This window comes from Homo sapiens, chromosome 4, assembly GCF_000001405.40.
Source record: "Homo sapiens chromosome 4, GRCh38.p14 Primary Assembly".
NCBI lineage: Eukaryota > Metazoa > Chordata > Mammalia > Primates > Hominidae > Homo > Homo sapiens.
This window is the reverse complement of record NC_000004.12, coordinates 173,391,872-173,415,927: the sequence shown is the minus strand read 5'-3', so window position 1 is coordinate 173,415,927 and position 24,056 is coordinate 173,391,872. Positions and strand designations below refer to the sequence as shown.

Sequence of the window (24,056 nt, the reverse complement as noted above, 5' to 3'; positions counted from 1 at the left end):
GCATGATTTTATTGGTGGTGCTTTAAGACCCTATGTCATTTCTCCAGCTCTTGGTGTGTTCATGCAGCCACACAGCACAGTGGAAGGAGCAATGGATTTGGAGGCAGATAGGCCTGGTTTAAATCCTGAAACCTCACTTCTCCTGTATAAAACTGACCAGAAGAGATCATGTTTGTTTTAGGCTTCTAAGGTTCTTAATTAAGTAACTTGGGCACGCTATTTGGTTTCTCTGAGCCTCAATCCTATCCAGAACAAAGGTGAAATACCTGTAATACCAATGTCACAGATTTGCCATGAGAAATAAAGGTCGTTTGGAGACAGACTAAGTAATTGGTAAATGCCAGTTCTCTTTCCCTTTAAAGAAAAGGCTATTTGGAGGCCCCTGTGTGAGTCTGTCAGACAAATTCAGCATCAGCACAGAGACTGATATAATGGCCATGGTTATCTGGGGCCACTTTTTGCAAGAAATGCTGAGCTGTCATGATACAAAACACTCAAAAATTAAATCTACTAAGCTGGCGTACAGTTTGGGACTTAGGATATTCACTGGTCCGCAAGAAATAAAAAGGAAACGGGGGTTACACAATGCATCTCTGTTCTAGTTACTCAATCTTTACCCAACTGAAACCTCACTTCACAACAGATTAGCCACAGCCCCTAAGGGCAATAAAATCCTGAATTGCAAACCCTGTTTTGCCACCTCACAGAACTTTCATAAATCTCAGCTGCAGTGAATGCATCTCCTATTTAATTTATGAAATGACTATTTTGAGAGACTATTCACACTAGTCATCTTTATTAGTCCTTCTGCCAACTCTCCAATTTGGGGGAAGAAGAAATTAACATGCAATATTAACGCTTTTATTGTGCATATAAATTTGCTGTTTTCAAGGGATATAGGGCAATATATGGGATGTGAGCCTGGTAGATAATTTCCAGAGTTGGGTCACTGCTGCTTCCCTCTTATTCTGGAGACAGGCAAAAACTACTGGTTACCAAAATACCAGTGAACAAGTGTCCTATAGCAAGCAAGCACGCAGTGCCCACCAAGGAGTGCACGATGTCAACTATTCACACCCTAGGGAGGAGAAAACTAAGAGAGAGTGCTTGAAGTGATGATGTTGCACCTTTACAAGAGTCAGGGATGAGAATGCCAGCACCAGCCACAGAAGCACACACTCTTTTCAACAGTGGAAAAATGGGGAAAGCTGTGCACCCAGCCACAGCTGCTGTGAACACAGCTGACAAGAAGCACCCTTCTAGTTCTGCTCTTGTAGATGAGAACACCCACCCCTTTCTTCATTTAACCTAAGCCATCCCCCATTCAAACGACATGATCAAGAGGGCATGAGGGCTCTGGGTTGGAGCTGTGCTTGGCAGCGTAACCTTTCCTTTCCAACTCCTTGCTTAAGGATCCCCTGTACGTCACCATGTGGCCTCACCAAGACTCACCCCATCAGGGTGAAGAAGACAGCAGGGACCACTGCAGGAAGCTGAGTTTGCTACTTGGGTAGATGCTCACAGAGTGTGAGATGCAACTTGTTTCCTAAGGTTCAGGGCTATGAGACTCCAGAATGCATTACAGAAAACATTACTTGGAATTATCCTCTGTTGATTTTAAAGAAACTGGTGAGGAGATGACTTTCTGGGCTGATTGTGTTAAATTTAAACAGGCACAGATGTCAGGGAGGAAGGCCCAGGCTGCTCCAGTGGAGCCTCACAGGATGGCAATACAGAGGAGTGGCCAAAGTGTTCCGGGGTCTGACCCTCAGCCATGCAGGTCCCAAGAGAGGATTTTGTCTGTGTTGCTGGGTGATTAGGTTGAAACTGACCCGTGCTAACCAAACTCTCAAACAAAACCCACATTTATTTATTTGTAACAGGTACACAATAAGCCTTTCCAAGGATCTCCAAACTTGTTCCCTCAATCTTGGACACATTCTGCCCATTATCAAGGTACCTGGGAGACCAAATTCATAATCAGGTTGTTGCTTGTGAACAAGGATTCAGAGCAAAAGCATTGCATAACCTTAAGGGGTGCAGCATCCAGATATTGGAGAAGACTTCTGAATGAAATGTACTTTCTAGATAATCTGAACATGAGTAGCTACCAAGAAACATGTCTCTCTCCTCTGGAAAGTTAGATAATCACAACAAATTCTCACTGCCTGGCCTCCTCTTACCTCAATATGTGCAGATTTTCTAGCTGCCACACATCCACTCACATGATTCCCCTTTTTCTTCAGATGGATCACAGTTCCTGCTGCCTGTAATCTATTCAGTCATTTTCCTGAACCTTTACCTGGCTCATCTTAACTATCCCCAATATTTGTTGCTGTTCATTACCAGCTCTCAGAGAGGGTTACTGATGGTTGCTGTTGTCAATGACTCGTTGGTTCTTATTAGCTCCTCTGATGGAATGGTTTTCGAGTTCTGGGGGCACTTTAATGCATGCATGACAAGCTCCTACAGCTTTCCTGGAGGCTGGAAGATGCCTCCTGTAGACTTGTTCAGCACCAATTGTTCTGTTCATCTGTGGAATGAGCTTGTAATGTGTTTTATTTATTTTGTCTCCACACGTTCTCACCTTCCTAGAGGAAGAGGTGAATAAACTGCCCTGCCTATCCTCACAAGAAAGTAATTTTTTCACCTTAGGTGGGCCATCTGCTTCTCCTAACAACTCTGCTTTGCCTTGAATTGAATACATCTTGTCCCAGGCATTTTGCCAGCTGTAGGCTCCAGGAAATGGAGCAACTAAAAGTGGTTTCCTTATGATGTCAAGGTCTTATTATTTTCTTTCTTTTTTTTTTTTGGAAATGCAACTTATGAGATCAACCCAAAGGAAATTGTGCATCAGTGTCCATAGGGGTGGTTCACAGAGTGGCAGGAGTCTCTGAGCAACAGTCTAAGCTGTATATGAATTTCTTAAGAATTAATCCCATTGCACATGTCGGTAGATGTGGCAGGGACCTGACAGATGGGGGAAATTGAGTATTTCCTTTAGGACTCAAAAGAGACTCCTAAGCTAGAGATTCTCAACCTGGGATGAAGATCCAAGTCACCTGCGAGGTTTTCAGTCTTCATGCCTTGGTCCCATTCAGCTGGCTGCTTCTGGTACCCAGCTGTGTGGAGAACAACTCTCCTAAGCCACTTGGAATCAAAGCTCCCAAGTTATTGGGGGAAAAGATTACCCAAGGCAAAGAGCCAGAATGTGCAGTCTTAATTCAGAAGATGGGAAGCAGTGGGACGCAACAGTAAACTGAGGGCGTTTTCTGATGTGATCATCCACAGACTCAGGATTATAGCAAGCAGTAAGTCACGAAGAGCATGAGGCAGCCTTGGGCTGGTGACCATGGGCCACTCAGGCCAACAGAGGGGATTTTCTCCTGCTTCAGCTCAGAGACAGAGTATCAGCAAGGGCAGCATCACCTGAGCGATGTTAAGAGGCAAAGCAAAACAGTAGCTCCTTCCGGGAATCAAGGCATCAACATGGGAGCCATTTTATTGAGGTGAGAAACAGAAGAAGAAATGGTAGGGATCATGAGATAGAAGAAAACAGCATTCATGGCCTTGTTCTAACATAAATGTGAGAGATGGCCTTGAGATTTGCGGAACTACTCAGAAGAGACGGGGCCATGGCTTATATTCAGCCAATACACACAGGCATGATGTTACTGCAGGTAGAAACTGGAAATTCTGCCCTGATGGTTGGTAAGTAGCTTAAGTTAGACCACATGCCACCAAATGACATCATGCAGTGGCCACTGCATGAGTGGTTTTGGGACTTGGGACTGGTGCATCTGGACAGGGCAGCATGATATAAGAAGACCAAGGTGGAAGCTGAGACAGACACAGTGCCTACTTGCTGCTCAGGAGGGGTCCAGGGTTGGCAGGAGTAGCAGAACAAGCTGGGCTAGTGACAGGGTTGTAGATGGGGCAGAAGCAAAAGTACTCTGGGTACACAGATGAGGTGAAAAACGCTAGCATTCTAAACACAGTGGGCACCCCACCCAATCACTCTCCTGCTGAGGCACATGCCTGGGACCACACCTAATAACCATCGACACAAGGAGAAGCCATTGGAAGCATTTAGTACAGTTTCCTCCATAAAACTGTAGCTTAGAGACAAGCAGCATTTAGTTTAGTGAGAGCTTACCAAACATAAGACCATACCATTAATTTCTAAAAATCAATAATGATTTAGAAATTATTAGAATGATTTGATGAAAATGTTGCCTTGTAAGCTACATTACACTGTAAACAGTTTCATGATACATAGTTTAAAGACTAGAAAGGAAATATTTTTAATTTTTATTTATATACTGATTTATAGAAATACATTTATTTATTAAAATATGCCACCATACAGGTTGCTAAATATGTTGCAATTTATCCTCAGATTGAGCAATGTGGAACTAGGGGGATGGTGATTCAGCTGATGTGGTTTGAGATGGTTGTAACCCCGACCCCCATTCTGGGTTGGTCCAACCTGGGAAAAGATAGGTTTCACTTGATTTACAAATAAAACATTATTTACTGTTTGCTGCTGAGGACTGGGCCCACCAAACCTAGTTAGTAGTTCCAAGTCATCACTGTTCTCATACTTCCTGAATCTTTGTAGCCACAAGGTACAAACTGTACAAAAGAAATTGCTAAGTTAGGCTTTTAGTGTCTTTGCCAGGACAGTGTTAGATCAGAAGTTCATTCATTTGATAAATAGTTATTGAGTACTTAAACGGTGCCTGGCACAGTTCTAGACACTGAGGATGCATAAAACAATAAAACGGGAAATCTCTACTCTCATGTAGCCAACGAGCAATTGCAGGTGGTGGGCATTATTCAAAGGCTAATAATGATAGATGGAGCTAAGGAGGAAGTTGGAATCCCATCTCAGCACTGTCTCACTGCACACTCTGCCCTTCTTGGGTTAGAGTCACTAGAGCAACATGATTAACAGCACAGAACCCCAGAACTAGTCTACTCTGAGACAGTCAAACAACTATATGGGTGGGTGCCAGGAAAGGGCCTCTGCTCCCAATGTGCTGCTCCTTTGTCATGACCTAATATCTAAAATTCTGTCACCGAAGAAGCATTTTCTATTATAACAAGTGTTCCTTAGAGTCCAGTCTCTTGAGATATATAGTTTTTTTTAAAAAGTCCAGTAGTCAAACAAATTTAGCAAACCCTTCAGCTCTTAGAGATTCACAATGAGTTAGCATATTAAATATAATCTGTAGGGATCTCGATCAGTTTAGGACGAAAAATTTGGGGATCTCTCTTTATTTTTCCAATTGCTTGCTTAAGCCTCCATTCCTCCATATAGTAGGTAATTTGGTTTCTCTTTCTTAAGGAACCTTCATTCTCTCTGTTGTACAGAAACCTGAGAATTAACTTAGTCCAAAGGTAGTAGTCTTGTTTCAGTGGTCCATGTGACCAGTCCATTAACAGGTTCTGGTTTTAAACATAACTTCTGTACAATGTCACTGTTGAAAACTGATTCCATCAGGCTTCAGTGAGTCCTTGTCTTGCTGTAGGAATGGCCTTGCTGCTATGGAACACTGCACAGGCAGCAGGGTAGCACTGTGCATATGGACGCCCAAGACAACAGCTTATTGGGTTTACACTCACACAATCAGCCACTGTTCCCTAAACATGACAGCTTTGCCAAAGTGGCTGGGTATAATTGGGCTTCTAACCACAGCTACACACAGGATCTAGAACAAGCTGTCCCCACAAACCTCTACGCTCTGGTGTTGAACCTGTCACTGAGCCAGACTCTCTCTTCTTGGGAGACCTCAGTCAGAGCTATCTTAGCCCTTCAGAAAGTTTTACTTAGGTTGAATCTCAAATGGGACGGAGATCCCTTCCCCAGGTCTTCATCCCTTTCCTCCTGGAGGATCTTTAGCACTCGGTAAGTTTGTTTTGCCATGTCAGGGGGATACTGAAAAGAACATCCATTGTAAGGCCACAAAATGTTCTTTTTCCAGTGACATGTATATCCACTCACCTAATATTGGCATACTTAAGAGTATGCAGGGAGGCTGGATGCAGTGGCTCACACCTGTAATCCCAGAACTTTGGGAGGCCGAGGCGGACGGATCACTTGAGGTCAGGAGTTTAAGACCAGCCTGGGCAACATGGTGAAACCCTGTCTCTACTAAAAATACAAAAATTAGCTGGGTGCAGTGGTGTGTGACTGTAATCGCAGGTACTTAGGAGGCTGAGGCAGGAGAATCACTTGAGCCTGGGAGGCAGAGGTTGCAGTGAGCTGAGATTGCGCTATTGCACTCCAGCATGGGCAACAGAGCGAGACTCTGTCTCAAAAAAAAAAAAAAAAAAGTATGCAGGGAACTACCAACGCAGATCCAGGGAATTCATATCTTAGTCTATCTTGCTGCTTCTCCAGCTTCAAATGGGACATGAGTCACAACCTGGAAGGATACAGAGCATAGCACAAATAGTTTCATGGGAGCAAAAGGATAGGAAGAGACATGGAGAAAGAGAGATAAAGATGAAAATCAAAGGACAGAAAGAGATCCTAGAATAGGAGAGGCAGCTAAGCATCTGAAGGGCCCTCTGTCACACAGGTAAGGGGTATGAAAAAAGAGGTAGAAGGAAGATTTCCCCTGTTATAATGTTAAGAGGGACATGGTCTACCACAGAAGCTCCCATCTAATGTATCATAACATGTGACTTGCTTCAGGGAGAATCACATTCCCAGGGATTCTCTCCTGAATTCCTTATGCTAAACTAAAGCCCTAAAACCTCCAGGCTTATTGGTTAAAAAGTCCTCACCTCTCAGTGAGGCAGGCTTCTAATGGAGAAATCTCAGAACCTTTTAGGTCAGGAAAGAAAATCCCATTATTTGCTGAGATAGCTTTAGACTCATTAATTTTCTTTTTCTTTTCTTTTCTTTTTTTTTTTTTTTTTTTTTTTGAGACTGAGTCTTGCTCTTTCGCCCAGGCCGGAGTGCGGCGGCGCCATCTCGGCTCACTGCAAGCTCTGCCTCCGGGTTCACGCCATTCTCCTGCCTCAGCCTCCGGAGTAGCTGGGACCACAGGCGCCCGCCACCACATCCGGCTAATTTTTTGTATTTTTAGTAGAGACGGGGTTTCACCGTGTTAGCCAGGATGGTCTCAATCTCCTGACTTCATGATCCGCCTGCCTCAGGCTCCCAAAATGCTGGGATTACAAGCGTGAGCCACGGCGCCTAGCAGACTCATTAATTTTCTGACACTAAAATGGTCAAAATTTCTATGGGGAGGGGAAAGACATTGAACTTGTGTGATATTCTTAAACCCTTCATTCTCAGATACTTATCCTTCTCTATTTTCTCAAATATTTTACATAAAGTAACTTAAGACATAAAATAAACCATAGACATAAGATAGCTTAAGACACATAATAAATCACTTAAAATTGTTAAATCTTTCTAATGTCAAGATATTTACACTTGAGCCATACTGGACCAATCAACACGAGTCACTAACATAGAGTGTGGAAGCATAGTAAAAATTCTGTAAGGTAGTAACAATCCAGGGGCAATTTTTGTTAATTCACCCCCAAAGAAGGAGGCTTATTTAGAATATTAGTATTAAAGGCAAAGATTAATTTGATCAAATTGTCATTTGATAGAAGACAGTGTTATAGAAAGGTGTGGGTTTTTTTCGTAGAATTGTTGCTATGCTTTAAACTTTCAGTGGACATAGGTGACTCTCTAACACATACCCAATCCTCTGGAATAACAAGTTATATTTCATCAGGATTATACTGTATGTAATATATTTCATGTGTTTAGAGATTAAATATCCAGAGAAAATATCATCATTGCCTATTTCCTGGCATTTCATGTGTCCTATCTGATATGTATACACATAAAGGGAGCAAGTTTTAGTTATCTAATACTGTGTTGTATTTATTATTTCAGTTTGAAAATGCTTTTATTTAGATTTCCAAATATGTAATTTTTAATGTTTTATTAGTAAAGGAGCAATAAAGGAACAATTTTATAGCAAATTTAACACCTATAAATTTCCCTGTTTGCAGTGTAAAAGAAACAGCTTCCATAGACCACAGGTCTGCTCAAATTTCAAAGAATGTTAAATGAAATACTGCTAAACTGCCCTAAAGTTATCTTATTCCATAAAATAATTGCAGGTTCATTGTTTACACTTTTATACAAAATGGTGTCTGATTCTGAATGGATTTATTATATGAATGTGTTTATTATTTTTAAAATAGCTATATTTGAGAAGCTGCATAAAGGCTAGATTATTACAAATAATGATTTTAATTGACCTGAAAAATAAATGTTAAAAAGATATTGAAAACTATGTCCACACAAAACGTGCATACAAATATTTATAGCACCTCTACTCTCTTTTTTTCGTTTTTAAATGAAGTCTCACTCTGTTGCCCAGGCTGGAGTACAGTGGCGCTATCTCGGCTCACTGCAACTTCCACCTCCCAAGTTCAAGTGATTCTTCTGCCTCAGCCTCTCCAGTAGCTGGGACTACAGGGCGCTGGCCACCATGTGCGGCTAATTTTTTTTTTTAATGTATTTTTGTATTTTTAGTACAGATGGAGTTTCACCATGTTGGTCAGGCTGGTCTCAAACTCCTGACCTCAGGTGACCTGCCCACCTCGGCCTCCTAAAGTGCTGGGATTACAAGCGTGAGCCACCGCATCCAGCCCCAGCACCTCTATTTTTTTTTTTTTTTGAGATGGATCTCGCTCTGTCGCCCAGGCTGGAATACAGTGGCATGATCTCAGCTCACTGCAACTTCTGCCTCCCAGGTTCAAACAATTCTCCTGTCTCAGCCTCCTGAGCAGCTAGGATCACAGGCATGTGCCCCCATGCCTGGCTAATTTTTTGTATTTTTAGTAGAGACAGGGTTTCACCATGTTGGCCAGGCTGGTCTCAAACTCCTGACCTCAGATGATCCACCCATCTCGGCCCCCCAAAGTGCTGAGATTACAGGCGTGAGCCACCATGCCCAGCGCGCACCTCTGTTCTTAATTTCCAAAACTGTACGCAACCAAGATGTCCTCCAACAAGTGAAAGTATAAACAAACTGGTATATCTATACAATGGAATATTATTCAGTGATAAAAAGAAATTATCAAGCCATGAAAATACATAGATGAATCTTAAATGTATATTGCTAAGTGAAAAAAGCCAGTATGTAATGGCTACATACTACATGATTCCAATTATATGACATTCTAGAAGGGGTAAAACTATAGAGATGGTAAAAAGATCAATGGCTGCCAGGAGTTCAGGGTAGGAGGGAGGGGAGGGTTGAATAGGTAAACCACAGGAGATATTTTAGGGCAGAGAGACTATTCTGTATCATAATGTAATGGTATGTACAAGACACTATGTGCTTGTCAAAACCCACAGACCTTTTCAGCACAAAGACTGAACCTTAATACATGCAAATTACTAACAATTATTTAGGAGGTTGGACAATCCCAGGATAAAAACAGAATGTGACAAAACAATCTAACTTTATTACTCATGTATGAAACAACCTCACTGAAAGGCGTAGTGAGGGGGAAGTTGCAGACCTATGTAACTTTGGAAATGAGTAGAGTCTGTCAAACTAAAGGTAAAAGACACCGTATATAAACACTGTACTCCAGCTGATAAAATTGTTTACCATGAGGTATGTGCCAACAATTCCGATGCTGCTATACATGTATACTGGAAATGAACAATTAAATAAGTGGCTGATAGTAGGAGTTAGGTTCCCACTGCTGGAGCAGGAGGTTACAGATGAGCAAGAGGAGGAAGCTCAAATGATTCACGTAGTAATGGATTAGAGTTGGAGGCATCAGAATAAACTCATGTTTAGGTTGTTGTAGATACAGACAGTTATGCATAGCAATATTCATAGATATGTGTATTTACACAGGTTGGTATACACAGTATATTTCCTTGCTCTGTCAGCTGAGAGGAATGAGAAGCTATGACACACCAGTACTAGTGAGCACACCTAGCTCCCAGATCTTGGTTTCTAATTTATTCTTCAATGAAAGGAACCAGGGCTCCTTGGAGAAATGGCTGATTCTAGTACTGGGACAGGAAATACACAAGATGAGCTTGGAGCAATCTTTTAGTGCCAGAAAGGAAGAAAGTGCACAAAAACAAAACAAAACCAAAAACCACGACCTTGATGGGGCATGCCATAGAGACACAAGAGGCAACTAAAGGAGCCCCTAAAGGCAAAAGCTGGGACAGTTTGAGCAAGGAATATTTTAATCCAAAGTATAAAATAATCCAAAGTATAGAATAAATATACATGAGTTCATCCTAATACAAGTAAATAAATAAGCAATGATGGACAAATTTCATGTGAAGAAAAATTCTCCAAAATTTATGTAGTTACTCCGCCCTCAAAGAGGTAGAGCATAACTTCCCACTCCTTACATATGGACCATGCATAGGGACTTCCTTCCACAGAGTGTACTATGGAAAGGGGGAGAAAAAGAGTAAATGTGCAGTGGAGCCACATAACGAAAACGACTTGAGCCAGGTGATTGAAGTTAAATCAATAGTGATAAGTCACGTTCCTGACCTGTATGTTCATGTGTGATATGACATGATGGAAATGGCACTTTAACTCTGTGGTCCTCTTTCTACAAACACATAACCCAAGTTTAACCATAAGACCAATATTAGACAGATCTAAGTTGAGAGGCATTCTACAAAATACTTGACCAGTATTCCTCAAAACGGTCAAAGTCATCAAAAACAGGCAAAGTCGGAGACACTGAGGAGCCTGAAGAGACACTACAACTAAATGTAATGTGGTGTTCTGGGCAGGGGATCCCGCAACAGAAAAGGTAAAAACTAAGTACAAATAAATAAAGTATGAACTTTAGTTAATAATAATGTATTAATGTAGATTTATTAATTATAAAAAATGGACCACACTAATGTAAGAGTTAAATAATAGAGGAAACTGGATATAGGGTATATAGGAAGTCTCTGTACTAAGCTAACAGTTTTTCTGTAAATGAAAAACTATTTTAAAATAAAAATGTTTGTTTAAAAATGATATTTAGAATCATATACTCATAGAAAAATGGGAAGTAGAAGAGCAATAAAAACAATCAATTAAACCCCTTATTTTACAAGGGAGAAGACTGAGGGTTTACATTAGGACTCAGCAGCCAGGCTGGCCAAGTAGCTTGTGCTTTGGAGAGGACCTTGAAGAAATAGTGATCAGTTGCTGAACTTTGCCTTCAGCGACACTGCAATATCATTCATGGTACACAGCAGACACACAATAAATAATTATGAATGATTACTTCCCAAGAACCTCTCCTGTACCCAAGAATCTAATCCCCTCACTCATTTATTCATTAACTCATTCATTCATTTAACAAATATTTACTGAGTGACTGGTTTTACTCCTAGAATTATAATCACTTAAAAACTCTGTCCCAAGGACTGATATTTTGGCAACTGTCCATATCTGACTTTGTAGAAAACACCATTCAGCTGCTTTAAGTTTCTGACTGTCCAGTTAAGAACTGTTTCAAGCCAAATATGAACAGAAGATGGACGGAGGAAACACAGTAAAAGAGAGACGACTCTGTGGCTCACAGAGAGCAGGTGTGATTCATGCACATTCAAATTATGGGCTACAATTTTTTAAAAAGGTACTGTTGTTTTAGGTTCTCCAATTTCTCATTCTATTTCTTTTGCTATTTATTGTGGCAGCAGGCTAAGAGCACAGTTTTGTCTTGGTTTCCAGTTTGTGCTCCACTACTTATCAGCTGTGTGATCTTGGCCAAGTGCTTAATTTTTTTGAACCCCAGTTCCCCCATCTGGAAACTACCTCATGTAAGTAAGTTGCGTGTACTAAATAAGACAACATTTGCAAAATGTTTAGCACACTTGGCAATGCAGTTAATAGCATTATTATTACTAGTATCATTGCTATTATCATTAACATTATCAACTCACCAGATGCTTGTGTCTGTGAAACAGCTTTGAGAAGATTAGGGCAATAACTCAGGACCTACGAAAGAATACACGTTGACACACTTAGTCAATCTTTCCATCTTTCTAGGTTTGGTAAGTGAGTAGGTTGTCTCCAATAAATCATAAAATTATTGCTAGGCTCTGGGCTGTGATTCCATGGACCAGTCCAATGCCCCTTAGAGACTGCCAGGAAACTAAAAAGGTTATTTTCATGTTCCTTTCCTTCTTGGCCTCTTTTCTTGCCAAAGTTTATTTTCATATTAACATTACCATTCATTCTAACTATTCCATGGGCTCCTAAAAGTGGATAGTTTTCTTGGACACAGGTCTCTCCTGATGTTCATTTTTCTGACTTTATTTCTGCAGCATTGAAAATCATGTTACTCATGGTTACATGAGTAACCTTACAGTCTCTATGTATCAATTCTGTTAAAAAGCCCAGCATTCCCGGGGCGGCGCAGACGAAGGTGGGTGCCTTACTCTCTATGCCCAGGGAAAAGAGAGCTTGTGTTTGATATTCTGACTAAAAGCATTTGATCAAGAAGACTCTCCTGGCTATCCCCATTATAGCCAGGGTTGCCCATCTGGGAATCCTAGCCATTCCCAAGTACATCATACCATCGAAATTGCATTCCAATATGAATACCTCATGGAAGCATTTCTCTCCCTGCAGGGGAGGTGGCATCAGTTCACCCTCTTACACAACAGCTACTTGGTGATTCTGCTGTCTCTTCAAGGGCCTTACTGACGATTCCTCAGTAGAACCTGTTTTCCTGAGTCTCACTTCAGCAACATAAAGCTAAGTTTGGGTAATAGAGGTTATGTTGTTCAACCCACTTTCAAAAACAATTCTAAGCATAAATGTCCAAGGTTCAGTGGATATCTTAAGGGAAACTTTATATAGTTGTAATCAAAGAGGAAACTCTTTTACTGAGTTCAAAAATAAGTTAGTAAAATAGCTTGTTTCTTTTTAACTGATGAAAGATTTTAAAGGTAGTTTTAAGAGGTGATTTTGTCGCAGTTCATCACCATTTCAACAAGCATATTGTGAGTTAGTTTTCAATAAGTGCAATTATTTTGAGGCTCCTTTTGTCAAGGATACTCACATAAAAAAAGTCCTACCTCTCTCCTGGGAAGATGTGAGCTGTGAAGGCCGAAACCAGCTGCTGCTTCTCCCCATACTGCCAGCCTTGGTGAGCCCAGAAGGAGTCAAGCCTGAGGGAAATGAGAGAAAGGGGTCAATCATGGAACAGAGGAGCAGCAGATTCTAAATTAGGGTGAATGCATGAGCTCCCAGGTGGACATCAGAGGAAGAACTAATGCATGTTCCATTTTTTTTCTCTCACAAGCTTAAGATGTCTGATATCTGAAATTATTTATATCTGAGACATCTCTTCAGACTTCACCTGATTGGAAGGATTTTGCTGTTTTTTGGTGTTTTTCTCAATTTTTCAATTTTGGGAGGTTTTTTTTTTTTTAAAAAGAAATACTAATTAGGTCTCTTTACAAATTTAATTTCAGTACTTTGAATGTAATTGCTTAAATTCTGTATAAAATGTTTCTCTACTCACGAATTGGTCTTATCACTAATTTGTGAGGATTTTCTATTTCTAACAAACCTGACTGCACCTAAGAGTGATAACATATACCTATAGAAATAAACACACACATCATCATCACCATCGTCATCATCATCACATAAAAATACATAGCTGGACATATTTTCTGGAAATCTGTACATTACATTTGGATGGTTTTACTTAAAATAGAAGCTCTATGTCACATAAAAGATTCACTTTGGGAGGCTCCTGAGGCCGTCTCAAAGAAACAGGTGGTCTTCAGAGCAACATAAAGCGGGTTCGATAAGAGGTCTGAGTAACAGCCCATCAGGAAAGAAAACTAAAAGGCCTTAAGGCTCCATTTACAGGAAAACAAAGAGTGGTTTCAGATTTGAGCCACAAATTAAAAACCACAAAGGCAGACTCTGTGATTGCAGGCCTTGGTTTGGAATTGAACTCCTTCTCAAAAGGACATCCCCATGTAATGGACATCAGGATGAATGACAAGCAATTATAAGTTTGATATTGTTTAATGATTCTTCCTAGAAATGATAGGAAGTCCAGCTAGTAATAAACACATGTTTGAAAACACAAGGGATTTGGAGGCCAGGGTCCAAATGTGCTTCTTAGGGGAAAACTTTCCTAAGTGGCTCAGAACATGATCCAGAGATGATTAGATCATTACCAAGAGCTGCTGTGTACCACTTACAGGCAGCATTCATAAGCACAATGCCAAGCATATTGTATGGATTTCAGTGTTGCTGAATATAAAAATGAATCAACTATTTTGAGCAGCTATGAATTCAGACACAAGGAGACAAAATAAGCAACACAATAAGGGAAATTTAGACAGAATTAGACACACAGGGAAATAAGAGTAAAACAGAGTAAAGAGAGGATCCATCTACAGGGAATGTTGATTTGCCTTGGCACCATACCTCTGTTTAGATCTACCTGAGGTAAACAGGACGGATAGCTCTTAAAGTGGAATAAAGGCTAGTTTCCATTTTCCTCCTCATATTCACATATTTATATACATTTAAATCATGCAAACAAATTAACTCCATCTGTGTATGGCATCATCTTTATTTAGTAAGAATCACAGCAGACTTGTTTATAAATATGCAAAGGAAATGTGCAGTCCATTGCGCACACACCTCTCATCTCCCTTCCTGAGGTCCATGCCACTTGCTCCAGTTTCAGCGAAATGGAGACCAAGCAGAGATTTGATCTCTGTCAGGGCTGGAACTGCTTCTGGTTGTATTGACCTTCTCTTTGCTCTGCCTACCTTCATATCAGGGTGTGCACGTGTTGTTCTCCCAGCACTGCTGTCATTAGCAGCCTTCCATTCACCTCCATTCTCTTGAAATACTCTTCCTTTAACTTCCATGATGACACTCTCCTAATTTTCCCCTACTTCTTTGGCTACCTCTTCTCAGTTTCCTTCCCAGTTCTCTGCCCATTCCTTGAATAATTCTGCTCTCAGTCGTATCATGAACTTTATAATCTATTCTAAGGGGCAGTACAGCATAATGGTGGGAAACAAAGACACTAGAAACACACTGCCAGGGTCTCGCCATTTTCTGGCTGTGTGTGTGATTTGGGGCAGGTTACCTGACATCTCTGATGTTCCCCTCGTTTATAAAATGGGACTAATAATAGTACCTACTTCATAGGGTTGGAAGGAGAGTGAACGAGTTCAGACGTATGAAATGCCTGGCACACAGTAAGAGCACAGTAACTTCTTAGTGGTACAACCATGACTTCGGCTATCATTTAGTTGAATACCTGCATTAGTTATTTAGTTGAGATTATTTGATATTGAGTTGATTGGTTGATGAACTAATTCTCTAGACCAGGCTTTTTCCTAAGCTCTAGGTCTATTTAACCAACTGCCTACTAAACATTCTCAACTGTATTTAGGGTTCCTTAAACTCAACGTTCACCAACTAACTCATTTCTATTTTCCCACTCCTCCTCCAGCCAAAACTTTTGTATTCTTTTTCCTAGATGAATAACAGTTATTCCTTTTATATCCTTTTTCTAGATGATTAACAGTATCATCGTCCAAAGGCCCAAGCCTTTGAAAGTTAATAAAATTTCCTATCTCTATGCTAAACATAAACACTTAAGTGGTCATCAGGTCTTTTCAGTTTTCCTTCCTATCTTCCCTTCTGGACTACAGCAAAAGCCGGTATTTTCTGTCTTTAGTCTCCTTTCCTCCCAGGAAACCATCCTTCTTTCACACTGCAGTCAGGCTTTTCATCCTTTTTAATATGTTTTCATCATCTTTCCATTCATCTTCACGATAAAAACAATTTTTTTAGCATGGCATATGAGGTAATTCATCAATTTGCTGCTTCTTGTCTCTCAAATTTCATCTCCTACCACCTTTGGTTTTAGCCAAATGAAACCACCTATAATCTCCGAAGTTGTCACCCTCTTTTTCACCTTCATGCCTTTGTAATTCAACCTGGAATGCCCTTGCCTCAATTGTCTGTCTAGATAATTCCAACTCCATTACAATATAATATCTCTAATTCCCAAAACACTACTCCTAATCGAATTTTTTAAAAACCTAAACAACAGTTAACAGATGCTAGAATTCCAGTATAGTTTGCTGAAAACAGAATAAAATTTCTTTTGTGCTTTTATTTCTAAGGCACAGAATACATTTCTTTTTAGTCATCATTTTAGCTTTCCATTGACTACTAATGAGTCTTTGGGTGAGAAATGGAAGGTGAATTGGAACGTATCTTCTACCAGGATTTTGTAACAGATCTAGATGGCTAGGAAAACTGTGAAAGGGGAAGAGGTGCGCAGCTAGCCATTCCCCACTTTCCTCTTCTCTCTCTCTCTCTCTCTCACACACAGACACACAAACACACACACACACACACACACACACTTTTCTTAAGGGAAAAATCACTCTGTGTTCTTTTAAAATCCCTCAGGTTTTATGTTTTATTGCTACCAGAGTCTGCCTCCCTGAGGTTCTTGTATAGACTAGTTATTTCCCTCTGTAAAGAAGCTGTTCTATTCGTTCTCGCCTGGTTTGGAACAAACTGAACACTTCCAAAGGAGGCAGTCCTTGCAGCCTTGTCTCCTTCCACTCCCCTCCTCCCCACAGTCCTGGCTGGAGCAGCGAGTCTGTCGATCCCAGGCCAGAGACAAGGCAGACAAAGGTTCATTTGTAAAGAAGCTCCTTCCAGCACCTCCTCTCTTCTCCTTTTGCCCAAACTCACCCAGTGAGTGTGAGCATTTAAGAAGCATCCTCTGCCAAGACCAAAAGGAAAGAAGAAAAAGGTATGTAATTTTTTCTCTATAAAAAACATCTTATGTCAGTTGTTCTACTCCAAAGTATTACTGTAGATTAGAGCAGAAATGTATGTATGTGTTGAGTCAGAAGAGAAAGACAGAGATCCTCTGAGGAGATGATGCAGGCACTTTGAAAAATATGATGCTTCCTAGTAGAAAGGCAAATAATCAGATTAAAAAAGAACAGAAAATGTATATTTCTTGACTAGGAAAGTCATTTCATTACAGGTTTAAAAAGAGGCAGATTCTTCACTATCATTTATTTAATGCCCAAATTTACTCTGAATGTTGTCCCACACAACAGGACTTATCCCAGTCCTCAGAACTATGTGAGGATGATAAAGTATATAGGATTGTTTTAAATGCAGCAGCTATATTACCTACACTACATGAAGTTAACTGCAACATCTAAGAAAGAAAATGTTTTTTGCTTTTAAAAATCCTGATTTCTGAAAAGAACCTGGTACAAATGTGTGATACAAAGAGGGAATTCATTGAATTCATCCTTGGTGTCCATTCTTGGAACACAACAGTGTCTGTACTGCTAATATAAAGAGAACACTTTTTCCCTCTGAGACTTAGAAAAATTCCTCTTTAAAATTCCTTAACTTAATTACACAGGCTATGAAAAGCTCTCCCAAATGCTGGTCCTTTTCTCCAGTGATGATGATTTACTGTGTCCAGGAAAAGAAGGAGAATGATGCAAGACTGAATATTAATATCATCTTCTGGCATGCTCTAAAAGCCTGATCACTTTTAGGGAGGATGTGGATTTTGTTTTTCTATGGATGAAGGTATCTTAGATATTTAAGATGATATGTCTGTTTTAAGGATCTTTAAGCAGCTTATTCACTTTTTAATACTGCTTCTGTTCTTTAACACATACTTTGGGAAATTTCACTTTGGGACTCAGTCATTCTAACAAAAACATTTTCTAAGGACTCAGTCATTCTAACAAAAACGTCTTCTAAGGCAGCTAATAAGAAAAAAAGAGAACTTTAAAAAAACAGTGATTTTCATCCTCCAAGAGAGATGAGTGGAAAACATCACAGACTGGGCAGCAATTTTAATCTCTCCCAACTATAATTTTGATATTTCAAATGTCAAGTTCTGGGCTGGAGTTTTCATTTGCTTTTGCAGCTTTGCTTCTCTCTTGCTGCTTTTTTGAAAGCAATCCGAAAATGGACTGTCTTTTCTGTCTAATTCATCAACTCTGTTTCATGCCACTGCTCTTAATACCAGTTCCCAGAACTGACATCAGCTGCCTGTATGAGCATTTGCACCATAAATGTCTGAACACTTAAACTGCATGGTCCTGTTAGTTTTGGCAATTAAATGGGATAATTTTTCTTTTTAAGTCTCCATTTAGCTCCAGCCATTCAAAAGCTTGCTTGTGCTAAATGCCCTCAGACAGAATCAAAATTTGCAACTCCCTACCAAAGGATGGTAGCAATGATTTATTGTTTAGTTGGAAATGTCTTGCTCATAATCCTGTATCCTCTGCAATGATCTATTAAAACTTACAACACTATTAGGATATAAATGGTATCATACAACATTTGGAACAATGTTAATTACATAAAATCGAATTAAAAAAATGGATAACTACCTAAGCTTCTCTTGCTCACTCCTTCTAATTTTTAGTAGGTAACTTTGTTTTCTTTTGTAATTTGGGTGTATTCCAGGAGGGATTTTAAGTACATGTACCTCAACTGAAAAAGAAAAAAAAAAGACCAATTTTCTTCAAATTGGCCAAAATCATTTCACTCTTGTTGGCACTTGAACATATATGGTTTTGATGGATTGCCAAGGATTAAGTTTGGTATCCTTTAATGAAACAACAACCAATGTATCCCAGGAACACACTGGGTCAGAAATTTTTCCATTTGCTAAATAATAGTTAAAGCTATTTATCTGTACTTAAGTAAAGGAAGAAGAGAAGTCTGCATTTAAGACATGTAATTTATTTTATTTTATTTTGTTTTATTTTATTTCATTTTTTTGAGACGGAGTCTGGCTCCATCGCGCAGGCTGGAGTGCAGTGGTGCAATCTCGGCTCACTGCAACCTCTGCCTCCGCGGTTCAAGTGATTCTCCTGCCTCAGCCTCCTGAGTAGCTGGGACTACAGTCACATGACACCACTCTCAGCTAATTTTTGTATTTTTAGTAGAGATGGGGTTTCACCATGTTGGCCAACATGGTCTCAATCTCTTGACCTCGTGATCTGCCCGCCTCGGCCTCCCAGAGTGCTGGGATTACAGGTGTGAGCCACTGTGCTGGGCCAAAACATGTAATTTATAATGCATACACACACACACACACACACACACACACACACACACAAAACTACCAGTAGGTACTTGCTAGGTGTGGAACTTTCCATTGTAGTATGCGACTTAGACTGTGGCAAAAAAATGATCTTATGCTCTGGCATGAACACAGAAGAGGTATGTGGTATGGCAATTTACTTACTTATTTTACCAGCAATTTATTTGTTCATTTCACTGAAGGAAATTTTTTCAACACTTACTGTGAGCTCAGCATTGAAGCAGGCACTCTGCTTCAATACAAAAGAAGTAGAAGTTACAGTCCTTGCTGCCTTGATGCTGGCATCTCCTCTTCTAGTCCTCTGAATATTGAATTGCCCTGGGCCTCAGCCCTTTGCCTCATCTCTTCTGGATCTACCTTTACTGCCCTGCCAGACCCATAGCTATAGATACTATCAATAAATATCCTGATTACTCTCAAATTTGTATTTTCACCCCTGATCTTTAGACTCACATTCAACTGCCTACTCAACATCTTCACTTTAATATCTAACAGGCATCTCAAACCTAACTTGTCTAAAAACTCATTTCTGGATTCCCCCCAAAATTGGCTCCTTCCAATTCTTCCTCAGTTCAACAAATGACAACACCATTCAAGCCAAAAGCCCAAGAGTCATCCTTGATTCTTTCCCTCTTGCTTCATATATCCCATCAGTTCTCACCAAAAGCCTGTTTTCTTCTATTTCCAATCTTGTCCCACCACAATACATCTTCACAGGCCAGCCAGGGATTTTTTTAAAAAGGCATAAATCAGATCATGCTACTGTTCTGTCAAAATCTTCCAATGGCTTCTTAATATACTCAATAAAATCTAAACTCTTTATCATATCTTCTAGGCCCTTTATGATTGTTCCCAATCTTCCTTCTTGGCTGTAGGTAAATTCACATAATAACCAATTCACTAAATAATTAATCAGCTCTATGAATTTCCCACTCCCCATATCCAATTGTAGTCATATTCTCCAAATGGTTAACCAGCTTATAAAAATGCTGACAATGACAAGGCATTATTTACTCAAATTCACAGTTCTTGTAGGCCAGATTATATATAAGTGCTTTGGGAACATAGAGCAAGGGAGCTATGAGAGTAGTATTGTCTGAAATCAGGGAAGGATTCTTAGAAGATATGAGTGTGAGGTTTGTCCTTCATGGATGCTTTGGTCAGAAATTAATATCAAGGGAAGGGGTGAGAAGGAACAACAAGGCAGAGACACATACATAGGATTAAAGAGATGACTGGCTTGACTGCCCGGCTAGCTGAACAGGAATAAATGATAGGCATGGAGACAAAGTGAAAGGAAGGCCTTAGGTTAGCCCAAGAAGTCCATATATTCTTTTAGACAACATAAGACCTCTATAGGCTCTTGCCTAGAATAAAAAATGTGTTTTTGGAAAATCATTCATTTTCAAATATGGGCCAAGCATTGTATTAGCCACTGGTGTATGGTAGTGAACAAAATAAATTGTTGTCATGGAGCCTTCGGTCTAATGAGAATGACAGACATAAAATGAGTAAATTCACAAATATATCATTTAAATTGTGATAAATATCATTAAGGAAAAGAAAGGGCGCTATGAAAGAACAAAGTTGAAACTACCTTAGACTGAAAGGCCATTGAAGGAATGACATTTAAACTGAGACCTAAAACTCAAAAAACTAGCCCAAAAAAGAACATTCCTGGTAGAGAGAGCAACATATAGAAAGACCATAATGGAAGAAAAAGATTTCTTTTTAATTATAAGGAAATACTCTATACATCTTTATTGTTAAATGCAACAAAATAGCATAAGAAAATATGAAACTCATTGATAAAGATAAGTGTATATACAAATACTGACTACTATATTACTAAAATGGTGGTGGTTGAATTCCATTTGATTCTAGCATAAAAGTTGAAAGACAAAAGTATTAAAATAACTATAATTTAAAATATGTTTATGGATACACAATATAAATAGATGTAAATTGTGACATCAAATAACATAGTGTGGTGAGAGAGAATTAAAAGTGTAGAGTTTTTGTATGTGATTGAAGTTAAGTTGTTATTACCTCAAAACAGACTTATAATTATAATTTTTTTTTTGAGACGGAGTCTCTCTCTGTCACCCAGACTCAGGTGCAGTGGCACAGATCTCGGCTCACTACAATCTCTGCCTCCTGGGTTCAAGTGATTCTCCTGCCTCATCCTCCCAAGTAGCTGGGACTACAGGCGCTCGCCACCACGCCCGGCTAATTTTTTGTATTTTTAGTAGAGACAGGGTTTCACCGTGTTAGCCAGGATGGTCTCGATCTCCTGACCTCGTGATCTGCCTGCCTCGGCCTCCCAAAGTGCTGGGATTACAGGTGTGAGCCACTGCGCCTGGCCAATTATAAAATATTTTATGTAAGCCTCATGGTAACCACAATGGAAATACCTATAGCAGTTTACACAAAAGAGAAAGGAATCAAAGCATATCGGAAAAAAAAAGAAGAAGAAGAAGAAAAAGAAAAACACAACCAACAAAACACAAAGGAAGACAAGGCAGGGGGGAAAAGCACCAAAGAACTAATTACAAGACAACTAGAAACAATAAGCTAAACGGCAATAGTAAATTCTTCCCTATCAATAATTACTTTACATGTAAATGGATTAAACTCTCCAATCAAAAGACTTAGGGTAGCAGAAAGAAAAAAAAACAATATATAACTATATGATTTCTACAAATGACTTACTTAACATTTAAGGACACACACAAGCTGAAAGTAAAGAAATGAAAAAAGATACTCCATGCATATGGTAACTAAAAGAAAGCAGAGTGGACTATTTCATATCTGACAAAATAGACTATAAGTAGAAAACTGTCACAAGAGACAAAGAAGAAAGTATAATGATGAAAGGGTCAACCCACCAGGAAGCTATAACAATTATAAATATATACACACTCAATATCAGAGCACATATATATATATAAAACAAATATTGACAGAACTAAAATGAGAAATAGCAACACAATAATAGTAGGAAACTGCAATACTCCACTTTTAGTAATGGTTAGAATAACCAGACAGAAAATCAACAAAGAAAGAGTGGACTTCAACACCAGTGTAGACCAAATGGACCTAACAGACATATACAGAATGTTCAGTTAAACAGCAGAAGAATATACATTCTTCTCAAGTACATACAGAAAATTCTCCATGATAGATCACATATTAGGTCACTTAAACCATGACCTACAAAAAGCCCATTGGAAGATATCATTTATATATGCTGGATTGTGATGCACTGTAACACTGCAATGTCTTAGTCCATTAAATCTGAAAATATATAAAATGAGGTAGATCTCATTTTAGTCTTTTCTTTCACTAATGTTTGGAGGTAGGAATTAAATTGGATATTGATAATTCTAAGGAAATATATAGCCAAAGCCAAAAATGGCTAACTCAAATTAGAATGTGAGACAAAGAAACTCTGAAACTCTTAGGAGTATGAAGAAATACTTTGTTTCTAATCTAAAGGGAAAAAAGCAATAAATGTATTTATTTAAAAATCCATTATCTTATCTAAAATGACTTACCTTTAAAAGATACCTAATCACTAAAAACTTTATACCAAAAATGTCCATTGCACAATATTGCTTTCTTTTTTTTTTTTTTCGAGACGGAGTCTCGCTCTGTCATGCAGGGTGGAGTGCAGTGGCTTGATCTCTGCTCACTGCAACCTCTGTCTCCCAGGTTCAAGCCATTGTCATGCCTCAGCCTCCCAAGTAGCTGGGATTACAGGCGCATGCCACCATGCCTGGCTACTTTTTGTATTTTTAGTAGAGACAGGGTTTTGCCATGTTGGGCAGGCTGGTTTCAAACTCCTGACCTCAGGTGATCTGCCGGGTTTGGCCTCCCAAAGTGCTGGGATTACAGGTGTGAGCCACCACGTCTGGCTATTCCACAATATTGTTTTCTTTCCAAGTACAATGTCCTCCATCTGTTTTCCCTCTTTCCAAGGAAGGAAAGATACTTTGGCACCTGTTAACAAGATAAAATCTGAATGGCTCTGGATTCTAATCCTGGTTCCTCCACTATTTTGCTATTCTTCCTTTACTACAATAGTCTCCATTTTCTTCACATCTAATGTAGAAACCAGAGAAGTCTAATTAGATAGATATTTAATATTCTATACTTCTATGCAAATCCTGTACTTGAAAAATTATCTCCTGGAAGAGAAATTAGAATTGTTGGTATGACTTCAGGGTTCAAACTAGGATTAGTGGGTGGAAGCCACAGAAAAGTATTTTACAATAAGGGAAATGTTAGAACTGTATCAATGGGATATGTTGACTTAGTTAATAATGAGTTCCCCATCATGGTAGGAGTTCATGGAAGGCTAGATGATTATAACGCAGGAATTCAAGCCTTCATTTTCAACTGCAGCTAAGAGGAAGTAGTCTATGTGGGATAAAAATCCAAGCATTGCTAAAAATTTGCAACCATAATGTGTACTAAACTACTTCTGGAAGTTAAAAAACAATCAAACTATAAATATATCTATACACTATCATCTGTCACTATCAACATAAATGGGTTTTTTGTTTCTGTCAGGATGGGACCCAGGTACTTTGACAATGTTGTTAGGATGTAAGATAATGTAAGGTAAAGAACCACTGTATTCAATTATGTTATTTGTTCTAGAAATTTGCCTGAGTTTATACCACCTTAAAAAACAGTTGTTCTCTACTGAATGTTCAAAAGATATATAGCTTTGGGTACTTCTTAAATGCAGATTGCAGCCCCCACCAACACTTCCTCCCTGCCTACAGCCTGTGCGTGACTGTGTGTGTGTGTGTGTCAAGGTCTCACTCTGCCACCCCCAGTAGAGCAGT

At 39.4% G+C, this 24,056-nt stretch overlaps 1 protein-coding gene and 1 long non-coding RNA gene across 5 annotated transcripts in view; one reads left to right on the top strand and one right to left on the bottom strand.

Moving 5' to 3' along the window:
* Positions 1 to 24,056, top strand: part of SCRG1 (stimulator of chondrogenesis 1) — a 134,444-nt gene that overhangs the window by 103,217 nt on the left and 7,171 nt on the right. Inside the window, exon 1 of one of the 3 annotated variants that reach the window (NM_007281.4) lies at positions 16,812 to 16,860. The exons of the other annotated variants lie outside the window; for them this stretch is intronic. The gene's annotated coding sequence lies outside the window, so the exon portion shown is untranslated. Of the gene's footprint in view, positions 1 to 16,811; positions 16,861 to 24,056 lie in introns of those variants that run through there. 3 annotated transcript variants of the gene reach the window in all.
* On the bottom strand, positions 1,848 to 22,871 carry LOC112268474 (uncharacterized). 2 transcript variants are annotated; one of them, XR_002959832.2, is made up of 3 exons: positions 22,758 to 22,871; positions 13,118 to 13,210; positions 1,848 to 12,032 (listed from the first exon to the last, which is right to left on the bottom strand). It is a non-coding gene; the product is annotated as an uncharacterized LOC112268474 (long non-coding RNA). The 2 variants fall into 2 exon arrangements; XR_007058369.1 differs by lacking the exon at positions 22,758 to 22,871 and having other exon boundaries at positions 13,118 to 18,586.